General features: G+C 48.1%; 1 protein-coding gene across 43 annotated transcripts in view, besides 3 other annotated features; it reads left to right on the forward strand.

Annotated features, from left to right (window-relative positions):
* Positions 1 to 14,193, forward strand: part of LDLRAD4 (low density lipoprotein receptor class A domain containing 4) — a 435,073-nt gene that overhangs the window by 160,361 nt on the left and 260,519 nt on the right. For 41 of the 43 annotated variants that reach the window (NR_172142.1, XM_047437773.1, XM_047437776.1 and 38 more), the window contains one exon: positions 9,299 to 9,720. Coding sequence is in view for 38 of the 43 variants with exons in the window: in XM_047437773.1 (XP_047293729.1) it covers positions 9,681 to 9,720 (40 nt within the window). In the remaining 5 variants the exon portion in view is untranslated. Of the gene's footprint in view, positions 1 to 2,096; positions 2,821 to 4,541; positions 4,686 to 9,298; positions 9,721 to 14,193 lie in introns of those variants that run through there. The other 2 variants (XM_024451258.2, XM_006722354.2) reach the window with 2 other exon arrangements.
* Positions 1,774 to 2,275: an enhancer, noted in NCBI's record as "H3K4me1 hESC enhancer chr18:13379815-13380316 (GRCh37/hg19 assembly coordinates)". NCBI's record gives its function as "activates a minimal SCP1, AML or CMV promoter by ChIP-STARR-seq in primed H9 embryonic stem cells {active_cell/tissue: H9 hESC(primed)}" and the evidence as "EXISTENCE:reporter gene assay evidence [ECO:0000049][PMID:30033119]".
* Positions 2,276 to 2,775: an enhancer, noted in NCBI's record as "H3K4me1 hESC enhancer chr18:13380317-13380816 (GRCh37/hg19 assembly coordinates)". NCBI's record gives its function as "activates a minimal SCP1, AML or CMV promoter by ChIP-STARR-seq in primed H9 embryonic stem cells {active_cell/tissue: H9 hESC(primed)}" and the evidence as "EXISTENCE:reporter gene assay evidence [ECO:0000049][PMID:30033119]".
* Positions 3,467 to 4,091: an enhancer, noted in NCBI's record as "H3K4me1 hESC enhancer chr18:13381508-13382132 (GRCh37/hg19 assembly coordinates)". NCBI's record gives its function as "activates a minimal SCP1, AML or CMV promoter by ChIP-STARR-seq in primed H9 embryonic stem cells {active_cell/tissue: H9 hESC(primed)}" and the evidence as "EXISTENCE:reporter gene assay evidence [ECO:0000049][PMID:30033119]".

Genomic DNA, 14,193 nt, shown 5'->3' on the forward strand with positions numbered 1-14,193 from the left:
TAAGAGGCACTTGTGGAGCTGGTTTGGAGCTTGGTGAACAAGGAATGCTTAGGAGGCTTTGTGAACGCAGGCGACTGAAATGACTCTGATCGTTCATTTCTGTAGGGAACATTGGCTGTTATATCGCTGATCAGTTTGTCTGAGCCTTAAGGTGTAGGGTGTTTTGCTGCGTGTCCTGGTGTGGCCCCGTTAGTTAGGGACCAGGCAGCCTTCCCCTGAGTTCCCTGCACTCTGTGACAGCTGCTCCTGGGGACAGTTGCAGGTTCACAGGCTGCCTCGCCCGGCAGAGGGGCATGGGAGCACCCTACTTGTCAGAAGGGTGGTTTGTTGCCCTCTCTGTGCCATCTTTCGTTCTCAGGGCTGTGTGGAAGCTTGAGAGGTGCATGTGAAGAACTTAAAAGGTCAGCACTTTACCAAGGGAACAAACCACACAAGAAAAGAGACGGAAGAACAGCAGACAGGACCCTGCGTGATGATTTTCCGAGAAGGAGATGTAAAAACTTGGTCAAATTTATTATTTTTCTTTCTATTGCTGCTTTTTAAATGTTATATTTCAGTATGAAAACATGAAAAAAAGCCAATCAAATATCAAGAGCCTCTATCTTTTTCCTTTTAAAGGCAAGTTTCTTTCTTGACATTTTTTTCCTCTTCTACTATTCTACCACATTTCATACCAAAAACCTCACCCACACACTTTCTCTAATTTTGTATCCTTTCTCCTGTTTCTCTCTGTTGTTAATTTTAGCTGGCATGGAATGATTTGAGCTTTGATTTTTATCTATTGGGAACTTTTTAAAAAAATCAAGACAAATTAGCAGAGGAACTAGGAGATGAATCTGACGTTGTATCAGTTGGGTCAGATCAGAACTGGAAGAGGGTGGGCTGAGCCGTGTTAGAGACGCGATTTCATCGGCCATCTGCTGAGGCAGGTTGTAGTAATTTGGGAGGGGTGGTAACTTCTCCAGCCCTCATTAGATCTAGGGTTTTGTTTGTGTTTTCTCATTAGATACACAATGGCTCCATCAGGCCAGTGCCATCATTGCTTCCATTTTACAGCCAAGGAAACTGAGGCTCAGGGGCTTTAAGTAACTGCCTAAGTCACACACAGCCTAGAATGAGGTGAACCCAATGTGGCCAGAGCCCAGACTTTTGTCCTCTGGCCCCTTTGTATAAGGCTCTTGTTTGAGCATGTTTGAAACAGTGTGGGGCTGGGCACTGCCTGTGCAGTAAACTCCCAGCCACGATGTCCCCCATGGGGCACCCCCAGGCCAGCAGCCACTTGTGTGTGGTGCCCAGATGCAGGACAGAGGCCATAGATTGAAAAGGAGGTGACCTAGCTGAGGCTCAGCTAGAATTCTGTGCAGTACAGTCAGCATTTATTGGGTACCTGCTGTATTCTAGTCCCCATGGTCAATGCCAAGGATAATCAGGAAGCGTTGTCCAGAAACACCTGCAGAGGCAGACGAGACACAAGGATCTGGGCCCCATGGTGACAGGAGCTTGGTTTGTTTTGCTCACTGCTGTCTCCCCAGCTCCTAAAATAGTGCCTGCCAGAGTAATGACCCCACAAATAGCTGTTGAAATACTGAATGAAGAGATGCAGCTTTGGTGGCGTCCTGCAGGCCAGAGAGCAGGGAAGACTGTGGGCCGGCACAGGTGTCCCAGGGAAGCCTGCTGTGAGCTGACAGCAAGGAGTGGCTTGGCAAGGGAGATGAAAATTGTTTCGTACAAACAGCTTGTCGGTTCATATTCTTTTCTATTCCCACCAAAGAATGAGACAGCTCCCCCTCCCTTCCTGCCCACACTTGTTAGCCTATGGTCTGACCCCCTTCTTGTTTGCCTGTCATGCCCATTTTAAGCTGATTTTATCTGAAGAAAGCTGGAGTGGGGGAGATCCCTGGGTGTGGAGGATTGCAGAGGCCTGCCCCTGCCCGCCAGCCCCCTGCCCGCCAGCCCCCTGCCCGTCAGCCCGAGCCCTCACGCCAGGCCACAGTGGGAGCAGAACCTCTACGGGGGTGGGGCTGGGTTGGGAGGGGCATTGCCGCTGCTTGGCTGGTGGCCACAGTGGAGGTGTCTGTGATGTGCTCAGACCGGGCTCAGACCAGAATGCACGTCTGCTCAGGGATCATCTGCCCCTGGGCCAAGCCCTGACCCTTTCCCATTCCCTTGTGCATGTGGGTGCTGTGGGAATGGCCTGGTTCGGGCCCTGGAAAGCAGAGATCTTCCCAGTATTCCCTGATTCCCAGCGAGCGGCTGGTGCAGGTGTGCACGGCTGTCTTCCTAGCATTGCAGGCTCTCCCTCCTGAGCCAGTGTCTCCTGTGGCCGCTGTGTGTAGACAGTGGAACTGGAAGCTTGGGCCAGGATCCAGACACCTGGTTCCAGCCCTGGCTTGCATTCCTCCCACACTCATCTTCAACCTGTCCCCTCTCCCTGAGCCTCTGGATCGCCTCCTCCACAAAGCACAGGGGTCGGATATATGACTCCTTGCGGCTTCCTCTGCTGCTAGATCATATGAGTCGATAATTATAGACTTACTAATGCATTAAGGACAGTTATCCTGTTTATTTTAGGGGGAACTCTCTCCAACTTGGTTTGAATATAGCCTCAGGATTTATCAAGTGTTGGATTTGTCAAGGTGACATTTTAAAGAATGTTCTAATATAATTATTGCTTTTCCTGTTTGCAGCCTGTGTGTGTCTTTGAATCGATGTTTTGGGTTTTGTACTTGCTTCCTGAATTGGTGACCTACAGCAAGGCACTACGCTACCCTGAACTACATTATGCTGAACAAGTAACCAGATCCCACTGAGCTACCCAGGGTGAGGATGGCTTGGAGGTTGTGTTACAAAAGCTACATGTTATTTTGCCCCCCCACATCACAGAGATGAAAAGTAGCATGAAAAATTCATCACACTCCAACTCAGTCTTCCCTGGCTATAGGCAGCCTGTTTCTCTGACTTGCTCTCAGATTTGCATTTCCATGTGGATTTTCTGTGCTTCTGCACTGTGTCCCTTTCTTTTGTTTCTCTTTAGTTTTTTTTTTTTTTTTGAAGAGACAGGGTCTTGCTATGTTGCCCAGGCTGGAGTGCAGTGGTGCAGTCACAGCTCACAGCAGCTTTGAACTCATGGGCTCAAGCAGTCCTCCTGCCTCAGCCTCCCCAGTATAGGTGTGCACAGCCATGCCCAGCTAATTTTTATATTTTTAGTAGATATGGGGACTTTCTATGTTGGCTAGGTGGGTTTCAAACACCTGGGCTCAAGCAATCCTCCTGCCACAGCCTCCCAAAGCACTGGGGTTACAGGCGTGAGGCACCGTGCCCGCCCACTGTATCCTTTTTTATGCCCATTTGCCCTCTCTCTCGGCCAGAGACATGGCCATAGGGGACTTTTTGGAATGGGAGGGACCTCCAGTTTCACCTCCTCATTGTATAAAAGAGGAGATGGGAGCCAGGGCCGGGAGTCACCACGGGTACCAGAAGCAGAGTGGGTCCCCTACCTGGGGCTCTCTGCCTACGGCTGGCTGCCTGGAGGCAGAGGTGTTTTATTTGTAGCACCTCCTTTTCTTTACTGTTAGGAGATCTTGAGACTGACTGGCCGTTGCCAAGGTCTGCACTATCCATGAGCTCTGAGGCACTCACATGGAGACGTGTGACATCTCCCTTGGTGGGACACCTGGTCCCAGCTCAAGTTGGAAATAGCTTCTCAAGGGTCTTTTCCCCACTTTTTCTCCCATCTGTCTCATGACAAGCCCTTTGCCTCTTTGATCCTAAATGAACATAGGGTGAGATGATGCATAGGTGAGCTGTGCCGTGCAGCTCTCAAACATGGTCATTTTTATTTTTTTTAAATTTTGCAGCAGAGCCCCAGTTTGCCGAGGTTTAGAATGACCTCTTTGGTTGGCAGCGTTCCTTTCTCCCTGGAACTTCTCTGGTGGGTAGAGTGGCCAGGGATCGGCATCCACAGGCCGGGGCTCGGCCCTGAGCGTCTGTGGGGCCTGGAGCAGTCGCCATGGCTGTGGAGCTGTCACCTAGGTAACCGACATTCCGCCAGCGAAACAGTCTGTCCACAGCAGGAGGAAATAAAAAATGAAACTGCAGCGTCAATTCTTTATGCACTACGGTTTTTTGAGTGCTACTTTGATTTTGGAAAAAAGGCTGTTTCACTTCTCCATTGGATTTTGGCCTCCGTGCCCCTGTGTGACCCTCACATTTCCTGAACCCCATGTATCTGTTTTTACAGTGTCTTTTAATGAAAGATATAATACGGACACAGTTCAGTTTGTATTCCTGAATGACTCTGAGGAGGACTGCGTTTCATATAAGTTTTTGTGAATAACTGGTAAGGCAGACATACCCTGTAACTTACTTGGTTAGGTTTGTGAGTGTTCATGTTTTTAAAATGTCCCTTCCTGTGGGGGTGTTTTTCCATTTGACGTGCTCTATTTCCTTAGTAACTGTTGCTCTGTTATGGGAGGGACTTAATGACATTTTTCAAGTGCAATATTGAATTAATTTATTTCCTGGTTAGTCCTGCCCATCTTCCCAGTATAAATAGAACCTCCATGTGTGTGTGCGTGTGTGTGTGCGTGTGTGTGCGTGTGTGCATGTGTGTGCGTGTGTGTGTAGAATGATGACCATGTGCTTGCTGCCTTGGGGGGGATCTTGACTGTGACCTTGCGTCCTGGGTAAGTTGCCTCTTCCTGTATTCCCCCCTCTCCTTCTCTCTTGATTTAAGCTACTTGGGTTTAGGGAGCTTCCTGGGCCTCAGGAGTAGCATGGGAAGCAGTGCCTTCAGGGCAAGAGGCCCAGGGTCAGTCCTGCTCTCCTGCTGCCAGTGTTGGGCGCAGTTCTTGCGCCTCCATGGGGCAGCGCTTGCTCTCTCTCTGTAGCCTGAGGGCATTTAAGTCAATGACCTCTGAAGGCCTTTGCTGGATAGGACTTTGTGGGAAGTGTAAGTGCAGCAGGCTCACCACTTGTAATCATCATCTCAACTCTTCTAGTGGGGTGGTGGGAAAACCAGCCCGGAGGGTCCCAGCCAAGCAGGCTGAGGAGCAGCACCTCCACCTGGGAAATGCCCCTTGCCAGGCGCAGCTAGGGCTGGGTTAATTGTGTAGGTGTTTGCTGAGCCTTCTCTGCGCTGTGTATAGTACTCAGGGAAGCTTCACGTAAGTGTCTTCCTTCACTCATGTGTTCGCTCAGGAAATACGTATTTACTGGGCACCTGCTGGGTGCCAAGGGGAACTGGAGGATCTGCTGGCCACTGCCTTTGCTCTCATGGCACTTGTGGGGGAGACGGGCAGGCATGGTGCAATCAGGACACCCGTGTGGAGTCGCAACTGCAGATGTTTTGGGAAGCCGACCAGGTGCTGCGGGTTGTGTAGCAGGGTCTGGACTTAGACTGGGGGCCATCAAAGAAGCATCTCCAGGGAGGGTTGTTTGGGCTGAGACTGGAAAGCTGAGTGGCAGCTCATGAGCAGGAGGCTCACGAGAGCAGAAGATTGGAGGGACGGCCGGCAAGCAGCGTTTGTTCAGCTCCTCCAACTTTTACCCTTCCACGTGTTTGCTCCACAGATGCCCAGCATGGCTGTGCTGATTGCTGGTTGGTTTCTAAACTAAAAGCACACGTCTTGTCCAGAACAGGGCCTGCAGGCTTCTGCTGACTGTGCTGGCCCTCAGAGTTTTCTCTGGGTCCTGATCACCCACCCTGCGCTGCCTGTTGGTCACCTGACACACTTACTGAGTGCCGCTGGGTTCTGGCCCCTTCTGGGTGGTCACAGTCTTTCACTGAGCAGAACGAAGCTTGCACCTCTGCTGCGTATTCCTAGAAAGGGTAGCTAATCTTTGTTGCTAGCAGTGAGAAAGAAGACTTTTTACAGCATTTATAATTGCATTTTACCTTGAAAATTGCATTGGGGGAGACTCAGAGTGTATATAGGAATAGGCACGTTATCCATTGATGCGGTAACACAGCTGTGTTCACCCTGCTTTTGTTGGGAACCGCACACATCACTGTCCTAAAAATCCTGGCCATGACCACGCTTAGACCTCATGGGAGCTATTACACACCTGTGTCCAACCTCTCTTTTAGAAGATGTAAAGTTAAGGATTGGTGGGGGTGATTAAGCCAGCATAAGAAAACTGGGAAGTTGGTTGTTTCTTCTATTTTGATCCACATTGGCCTCAGTCTTTCCCATAGCCTTTTGACATGTGGGATGTATGATAACTTCATTTTTCTAATTGACATTTTGACAAATAATAACTGCATATATGTGGGGTACAATGTAATGTTTTGGTATATGTATGCATGGTAGAAATATTCAATTCAAATGAATTAATATATCCATCACCTCACCAACTTATCATTTTTTGTGGTAAGAATGTTAAAAATCTATTATTTTAGCAATTTTGAAATATGTGATACTTTTTTTATTAACTGTGGTCACCATGCAATGCAGTACGTCACTAAAACGTATTCCTCCAGTCCATCTGAAAATTTTGTATGTTTGATCAACATTTCCCTTTTCTTCATCGTTCTTCCTCCTGCCTCTGGTAATCTCCTTTCTACCCTCCTTCTGTGAGATTGACTCTTTCAGATTCCACCTATAAGTGAGATCATGTAGTACTTGTCTTTCAATTCCTGGCTTATTTCATTTGGCTTAATGTCCATCCGTTTCATAAGTGAGATCATGTAGTATTTGTCTTTCAATTCCTGGCTTATTTCATTTGGCATAATGTCCTCCCGTTTCATCCATGTTGTTGCAAATGACAGAATTTTCTTCTTTTTAAAGGTTGTATAGTACTCCATTGTGTATGCATACCATGTTGTCTTTATGTGTTCATCCACTGAAGGACACTTAGGTTGCTTCCGTATCTTGGTTATTGTGAATAGTGCCGAAATGAACACGGGAGTGTAGATATATTTTTGACATACCTATTTCAGTTCCTTGGATATGTACTCAGCAGTGGGATTGCTGGATCATATGGTGATTCTATTTTTAGTCTTTTGAGGAACCTCCATACTGTTTTCCGAAATGGCTGTACCAGTCTCCATTCTCACCAACAGTGTACACGGGTTCCCTTTTCTCCACATCCTTGCCAATACTTCTCATCTTTTGTCTTTGATAATGACCATTCTAATGGGTGTGAGGTGATAGCTCATTGTGGCTTTAATTTGCATATCCCAGATGCTTAGAGATGTTGAGCATTTTTTAATATATCTGTCAGCCATTTGTATATCTTCTTTTGAGAAACATCTTTTCAGGTAATTGCCCGTTTTAAAAATTGGGTTGTTTTCTTGCTACTGAGTTGTTTGAGTTCCTTACATACTTTGGATATTAGGCCCTGATCAGAAGTATGGCTTGCAAATATTTTCTCCCAGTCTATCGGTTGTCTCTTCATTCTGTTGATTATTTCCTTATGATAACCTGATTTTTAAAAAAAGTGAGGTAGCATAACTTCTGCAATGAAACAAATAGACAAAATTCCCACAATAAAACAACAGCAAAAACCTCCCTGCAGTTTGGTTTTCTCTCTGAGTTTAGAGAATGAGAACAAATAAAGTCTAGCATATTTGCACACCAAAAGCATCATCGAAAAGGGCAGAGAAAAATCAAAGCTTTAGGGCAGGTGGGCTTCTGTTTTTATCTGGCAGGATAAATTCCATTTCCCAAAGTTCATGATGCTAGTGCAACTAGTTTTCTTCCGAAGTTCCTGTAGGACCTGCATGTTGGCCATTTTTAGATGGAATGTTAGAATTCAGAGAAAAAATGTTTTCTCACATTTTCAAGCACTTCAAAGCTACCATTTACACAAATAATTTATTTTTTAATTAAAATGTTACCTGTTCTTTAAACTTGAGGACTCCTACTGGGCCATACCTTATTAACTGAGAATGTTACTATAGATACATGAAGGTAATAGAATTGGATGTCTTAGTATCATTAAAGTACTTCATTAATTTATAACATACTCCTTGTAATTAGTACGTATCAGTGATGTGTTACTTCACTACCTTCTGTTTATAGCAACATGTGATTAACAGAGGGCTCCTTTCTGTTCTGTGCTCTGTTCTCTTAAGTTCTTTTTCTTTAGTTTGATGATGAAAAAGAAGAATGAGATTACATTTTCTAAAAGTTGGTTATAAATTGATTAGGATGAAGTGATAACATAAAAGAGGTTTCTTTTCCTGAATATTGGAGACTGATATTCAGGATTCTGTTTTAAAAGTCTGATCCTTTGGGCTTCTGTCATTCTTGTTAATATTGCTTTATGTTTAATGGAACATTAAAATATCTGAAAAACATTTTGTAAAATGCTTTTATTATTATTCTATTTTTTTTTTTTGAGATGGAGTTTTGCTCTTGTTGCCCAGGCTGGATTGCAATGGCGCGATCTTGGCTCACTGCAACCTCGCCTCCCGGGTTCAAGTGATTCTCCTGCCTCAGCCTCCCGAGTAGCTGGGATTACAGGCATACACCACCACACTTGGCTAATTTTTTTGTATTTTCAGTAGAGACAGGGTTTCTCCATGTTGATGAGGCTGATCTCGAACTCCTGACCTCAGGTGATCCTCCCGCCTCGGCCTCCCAAATTGCTGGGATTACAGGCAAAATGCTTCTATTGTTATGTAACATATGGAGCAGTTTATAGATTAAATTTGCTTTTCCTTCCTATTCTCACTAAAAAGTTAATGTGGGCATTTGTTTTCCTTTTAAGAATCCATTTTTAGGCCAGGCATGGTGGCACATGCCTATAATCCTAGCACTTTGGGAGGCCAAGCCCTTTGTGAGGATTGCTTGAGGCAGGAGTTTGGAGACCAGCCTGGGCGGCTTAGTGAGACCCTGTCATTCATAGATAGATAGATAGATAGATAGATAGATAGATAGATAGATAGATAGATAGATAGATGGATGGATGGATAGATAAGATAGATAGATAGAATCACTTTTAAAAACTGCTCCATGCAAGTCCTGCATTTTCTTCCTGGAGTGCTGACCAGTGGCCATGCACCACAGACCCCAGTCTAAGGCCTTGGGAACCAGCTTGAGAAATGAGTTTCTTCCCCGAGGTGTCTGTGAGGGCAGAATGGCCCAGGAGGGACATTTGAACCTTAAGAGGAGCATAGCTGTGGCCTTGGGGGCAGGTGGATCTCCTCCCACCCTGGCAGCCCCTGTGGGAGCCCCCATGCCCACAGTGGGGTCGTGGAGGCAGCTCCGTGGCTTTTCCTTTCTGTCCTGTGTAAGCCTGTTAATTGTAATGCTTCTGCTGGTCATCAGGAAAGTGACCTCTTGCTTTTCAGTTTCAGAGGCGGAGCACAGAGAGCTGCGGCTGGGACAAGGAGCACCCGCGTGCAGGTGCGACCCTGCAGGATGCTGGCAGCGGCGTGGCCAGGGGCGCCCGTGTTCTGAGGGCCTGAGGGCCAGCCCCTCCACCCGCGCCATGGCCTCCGCGCCCTGGCTGGACGGCTGACGGGAGCAGGGACCGCCGCCGCCCAGGTGCCACACCCAGGTACCGCCCGCCCGCGCGAGAGCCGGGCAGGTGGGCCGCGGATGCTCCCAGAGGCCGGCCCAGCAGAGCGATGGACTTGGACAGGCTAAGATGGAAGTGACCTGAGCCTCGCCCGGCGGCTTCCTCGACGGGACAGCGCAAGAGTTGGAGCACAGGCTTGTCCGGGGAGCAGTATGCCGGAAGCTGGTTTTCAGGCCACAAATGCTTTCACAGGTGAGCATGCTCCAGGTAATCCGAGGCTTTGCCTCCACTCCTGGGAGGCAATAAACTCCCAAACCACTGCATGCAGTGAACCTACCTTTGCAGTCAGGAGCTGAAGGCCAACGCAGTCAAGGGCTCAGGCTGCTGTGGTGACTGATTCTGACAAAATAATAATGTGTTTTCCTTCGCTCTCTCAATAGCAGTTTGAAAAAGTGTTTGACACTTTTTGCTTCTGTTTTTGTTGAATGATAGGATACACACAATATCCTGCAGTATTCGCAGCGTCTTCCAAGTCTCTGTTCTCTAAGGAAATATGTCACTTGCTGAGCGAGGGTAGGGGAAGTGTGGTTTCTTTACAGAACCGGGAAGATTCTCCGAGGGAAAAGATTAATTGCCGATGTGTGCTTGGTGCCTCCCCATCTTTAATTTCTCACATTTATTTGTGTGCTTGGGGCAACTGGGCAGAACTCGTCTTGCAGTGAGCGGGGAGAAGTGGGACACCCCAGTGTGCTGGTGATTTGGCCCTGGCTGGCAGTTTGTAGGGAACCACACAGTCTGGCTGGTGCCCAGAGCCCTCGCCCAAGACACAGGAGATTTTGAATTTGGATCCTGGCTCTTTTGTCTGATTCATGTAACATTCCAGGAAGCCACTTAATCCTCTGGGCCTCTGGCTCCTCGTAGACAGACTGGGCTCCGTGACATTGAGGAACTTCATGGAATCCAGGGAGAATGTGTTTACATAAAAGAGGTTTTGTGGAGGTTGCCTTTCATTTAAGAGAAAGATGGTAGAAATAGTCACAAGAAGTGACCCTATTCTCTGGTTCCGTGAGTCCCAGAAGTTTGCAGCTTTTCAGATTTTGTGGAGGGAGCAGGTCAGGCTGTTGGGATGCCTGGAGAGAGGGGCAGGGGCTCAGGCTTGATTGGCATGGGCCTTCTCCTTGGATTAGATGTCAGCTCCTAGACAGCCTTGCACTCCTCCGCAGTCGCCGTGGCTTCGGCGTGAAGAGATGGAGCGCCGCTGTGGTGCCTCTCCAAGGAAGAACGAGGGGACGGGTCTTCCCAACCTCGGCCGCTTCCGTGCGCACCTGCAGGCGACCTCCTGAGGCAGCTTGCACCACATAGTCTGTGACATGGGGTCTCAGTGACAGTGCCTTCCCCGAGTTGTGGGAGGTGGGTCAGGGCCCGTGCTGGTTAGCTTGGCAGCTGTGTAGATGTCTCCCTCTGGATTGTGAGGGGCTGGTTATTCTCTGGCCCATGTGGATGAGCTCCGCAGCTGTGTACACCTTCCTCCCAGGTTGTGGTGTGCGGGTCATGGCCCATGTGGATGAACTCTGCAGCTGTGTAGACGAAGGGTTGGGGGAGCACGTGCAAAGCTAAGCTCTCTTGAACCATCTTCATACCTGCAGCCCAGCTGTCTAGAAACCCTGTCCTTCCTCATCCTTACTGTGTGTGCTTCAGCTGTTTCCGTCTCAGGAGCAGCTCCCTCGTGGATACTCCTCCCCTCCAGGCAGGGATGGGCAGCTCCCTCATGGATACTCCTCCCCTCCAGGCAGGGATGGGCAGCTCCCTCGTGGATACTCCTCCCCTCCAGTCAGGGGTGGGCAGCTCCCTCGTGGATACCCCTCCCCTCCAGGTGGGGGTGGGCAGCAGAAGCAACTGAGAAGTGGCTGGGTGTGTGCTCAGCCTCCTTGTCCCTTCTCCCCACACCCCAGGAGGCAGCTGGGGAGGAGCGGCACCTAGGATTTGATGTAAAGAAGCTCTTCAGAGTAGTTCTGGGAGGAAGAGGGAACAAGAAAAGAAAAGGAAGTGAGCATGGGACAAAAAGAGCCCGAGGAAAAGTGGCACACTCTTAGGAAGCTGCCCTGACCATGGACCTGACGGCAGGGTGGAGGCCACAGGGTGGCCCACAGAGGCCAGGGTTCTGGGGCCGTCTCCTCACCCTGCTGCACCTGATGGTGGTCCACGTGGCTCCCACTGAGACACCCACGCCATCCTCACACTCTGGGGTGCTGGGGATACCTCTGCCCCAAAGGAAAGGGAAAGGCCAAACTGAGGCTCTGTTTAGAATACTCAGAATCCTGTGGTTCTGCCTGGAGGATTCTTGCAGATAGGACAGTACCTCTCACATATTAAGCCAAGGTATATGTCAGCTGCTACCCCTGGGGCCTGTGTCACCCCACCTTCCTCCCCACTTGCTCACAGTCACCCACTTGTAGCTCCTCCCCAGCTCACGTTTTTTTTTATTTGTAATTTATGAATAAAAGCTTTCTATATTGGTAGGTTCCAGTGAGATGTTTTGATACATGTATGTGTTGTAGAGTGAACAGGTCAGGCTAATGGGCTCTGCTCATCACTGCACATTTTATCATTTCTTTGTGCTGAGAATACTTTGGCTCCTCTCTTTCAGCTCACATTTATGAGTTTCCCAAGAATCTGTTTCCTTACTTTGGCCTCTTCCCCCCAGTGTCAGCCTGGCTGAGGAACAAGGTGTGCCAGCGGCAGTGGTGGGGTGTTCGCCACAGCCGCCGTTTTGGAGCCACAGTGTGCCGGGAGCCGTGCTCCTGCTATGTGTCCTTTGCCAGGTGTCACACCAACACAGCGCCGCGCGGGGCACACTCAGTGCAGGCAGGAACTGGCTGGTGCCAGTGGCCTCTCCAGATTGTCCCACGCTGTGTGGCCTTGGGTACACACGGGTTCCCTGGGGAGCTTCCCTACCACCTGGGTCTCACCCTCAGAGACTGAGGTTTAATTGGTCTTGGCATCACCTAGACCTGCTAAATCAGGACTCTCATCCTCACAAGATCCTAGGTGCTTGGCTCACTTTAAAGTCTGGGAAGCACTGGGAGCTGGCACCCAGCAGAGCAGTGTTCAGAGAGAGGCCAGGGTGCTTGAGGGGGTCATGTCTCAAAAAAAAAAAATCACCTGACTTGTGCCATTCCTTCAGCAGGGGGGATCAAAATAATGGGTCTGCCTGTTCTCAGACCATCATGTGTTGAATAGTGTTCACACTGTTGGGTGCGCCAGCACCTGCAGGGTGGCAGTTTTAGCTTCCCCATCTCTCTCTAGGAAGTAACCAGCAGTGAAATAAGGAGATGTGAGCGCCTGGCCTTCTCTGGAGCTGGGTCCCTGGAGACTTGGCTCATCATTTTTATTCTTGGTCTCCCTTCCCATCTGTCTGCCCACATAGTTTGCAAGAGTCCCTGTGATGTAGGATGCAGGGGCTGACACACTCTGCCTGCCCAGGCAGCTGGGTGAAGGTGTAGCTTTAGAAGGAGGCGCTCAGGAGTCCGGTGCCCAGCCCACTGCCTTAGTTGGGTTGCTGTTCTTAAAATTTTGGATTTTGCTGATTCTCTGGGCTAATAGAAAGGAGTCTTGCCTTAGATAAGACATTGAGGCATCTTCCCTAGGCTTTAAATTTTGTTTTAGGGCCAGGCAAACATCACTGGGCAGTTAACCATATGTCCACTAAAATTTGTCACTTTATGTTCCAATTCTCTTGGAGGGTAGAGGCTCAGAATTCCTCTTTAAGAGGGTTTTGGGCAGCACTCGGGCTGTGGGGGAGGGCTGGGAGACCTGCCATGAAGCTGCGTTTGTTTGGAGCGTGTGAAAGTACCATGAAGGGGGTGGGAGTTTGGAAGGCCCCTGTCCCCATGCCACGTTGGCAATCCTGTGTGATGGAGTTCACTCTGACCTCGTGCCTCCTGGGTGAGTGTGGGTATACTCACATAGATGCGTATTTAACTTCTTAATTATGATCTTAGGTGAATGCTTGCATACAGGAATTGATACATTATTTTTAGTTTTCTCAGCATATGCAATTTAGAAATGATTTTAGTCATTTAGATAGTATTTTATATCAAAAATTAATTTTTTCCTTTTACAAGTAGCATCTGCTCATTGTAAGCAAACTCGGAAAGCGCAAGAGTCAAAAGAAAAATAATTTCCTACACGCATCTTTGCCATGTGACTCTTTCTTCGGGCAACATTTTAGTTTACATCCTTCCAGTTTTGTCTTTTGCAAATTTCTTCCTACAGAACTGTGTTCATAATAGTATTTAATATGGTAACTTGATCATTCCCTTTTAACATTACATTACGAGCATTTTTCTTATAAATACGATTTTAAATTGCTGCATAATATTTTCATGTACATGTACTTGAATTTTAAAATTGTGTTCCTGTTGTTGGATAGTCCACTTTTTGACGGTTTTCACCCTTATGAATAACGCTTTGATGAACACCTTTGTGCATAAAAGCTCTTCTGTATATTTGATTATTTCCTTAGGATAAACTCCCTGAGGCAAAATTATTGGGTCCAAAGATGTGAATTCTGTTACAGCTTATAATTAAATTTCCAGAAGGATTGATTGATCCTAACTTTTGAGGCTGTGCTGAAACTGGTTTCCTTCTGTTGCCAGTTGCCTGTTCACAGTGACTGCGCTCAGAATTGGGTGTGTCCTCCACGGTTCAGCTGTGCGTGGAGCG

The sequence above is a fragment of the Homo sapiens genome, chromosome 18 (assembly GCF_000001405.40).
Source record: "Homo sapiens chromosome 18, GRCh38.p14 Primary Assembly".
Lineage (NCBI taxonomy): Eukaryota > Metazoa > Chordata > Mammalia > Primates > Hominidae > Homo > Homo sapiens.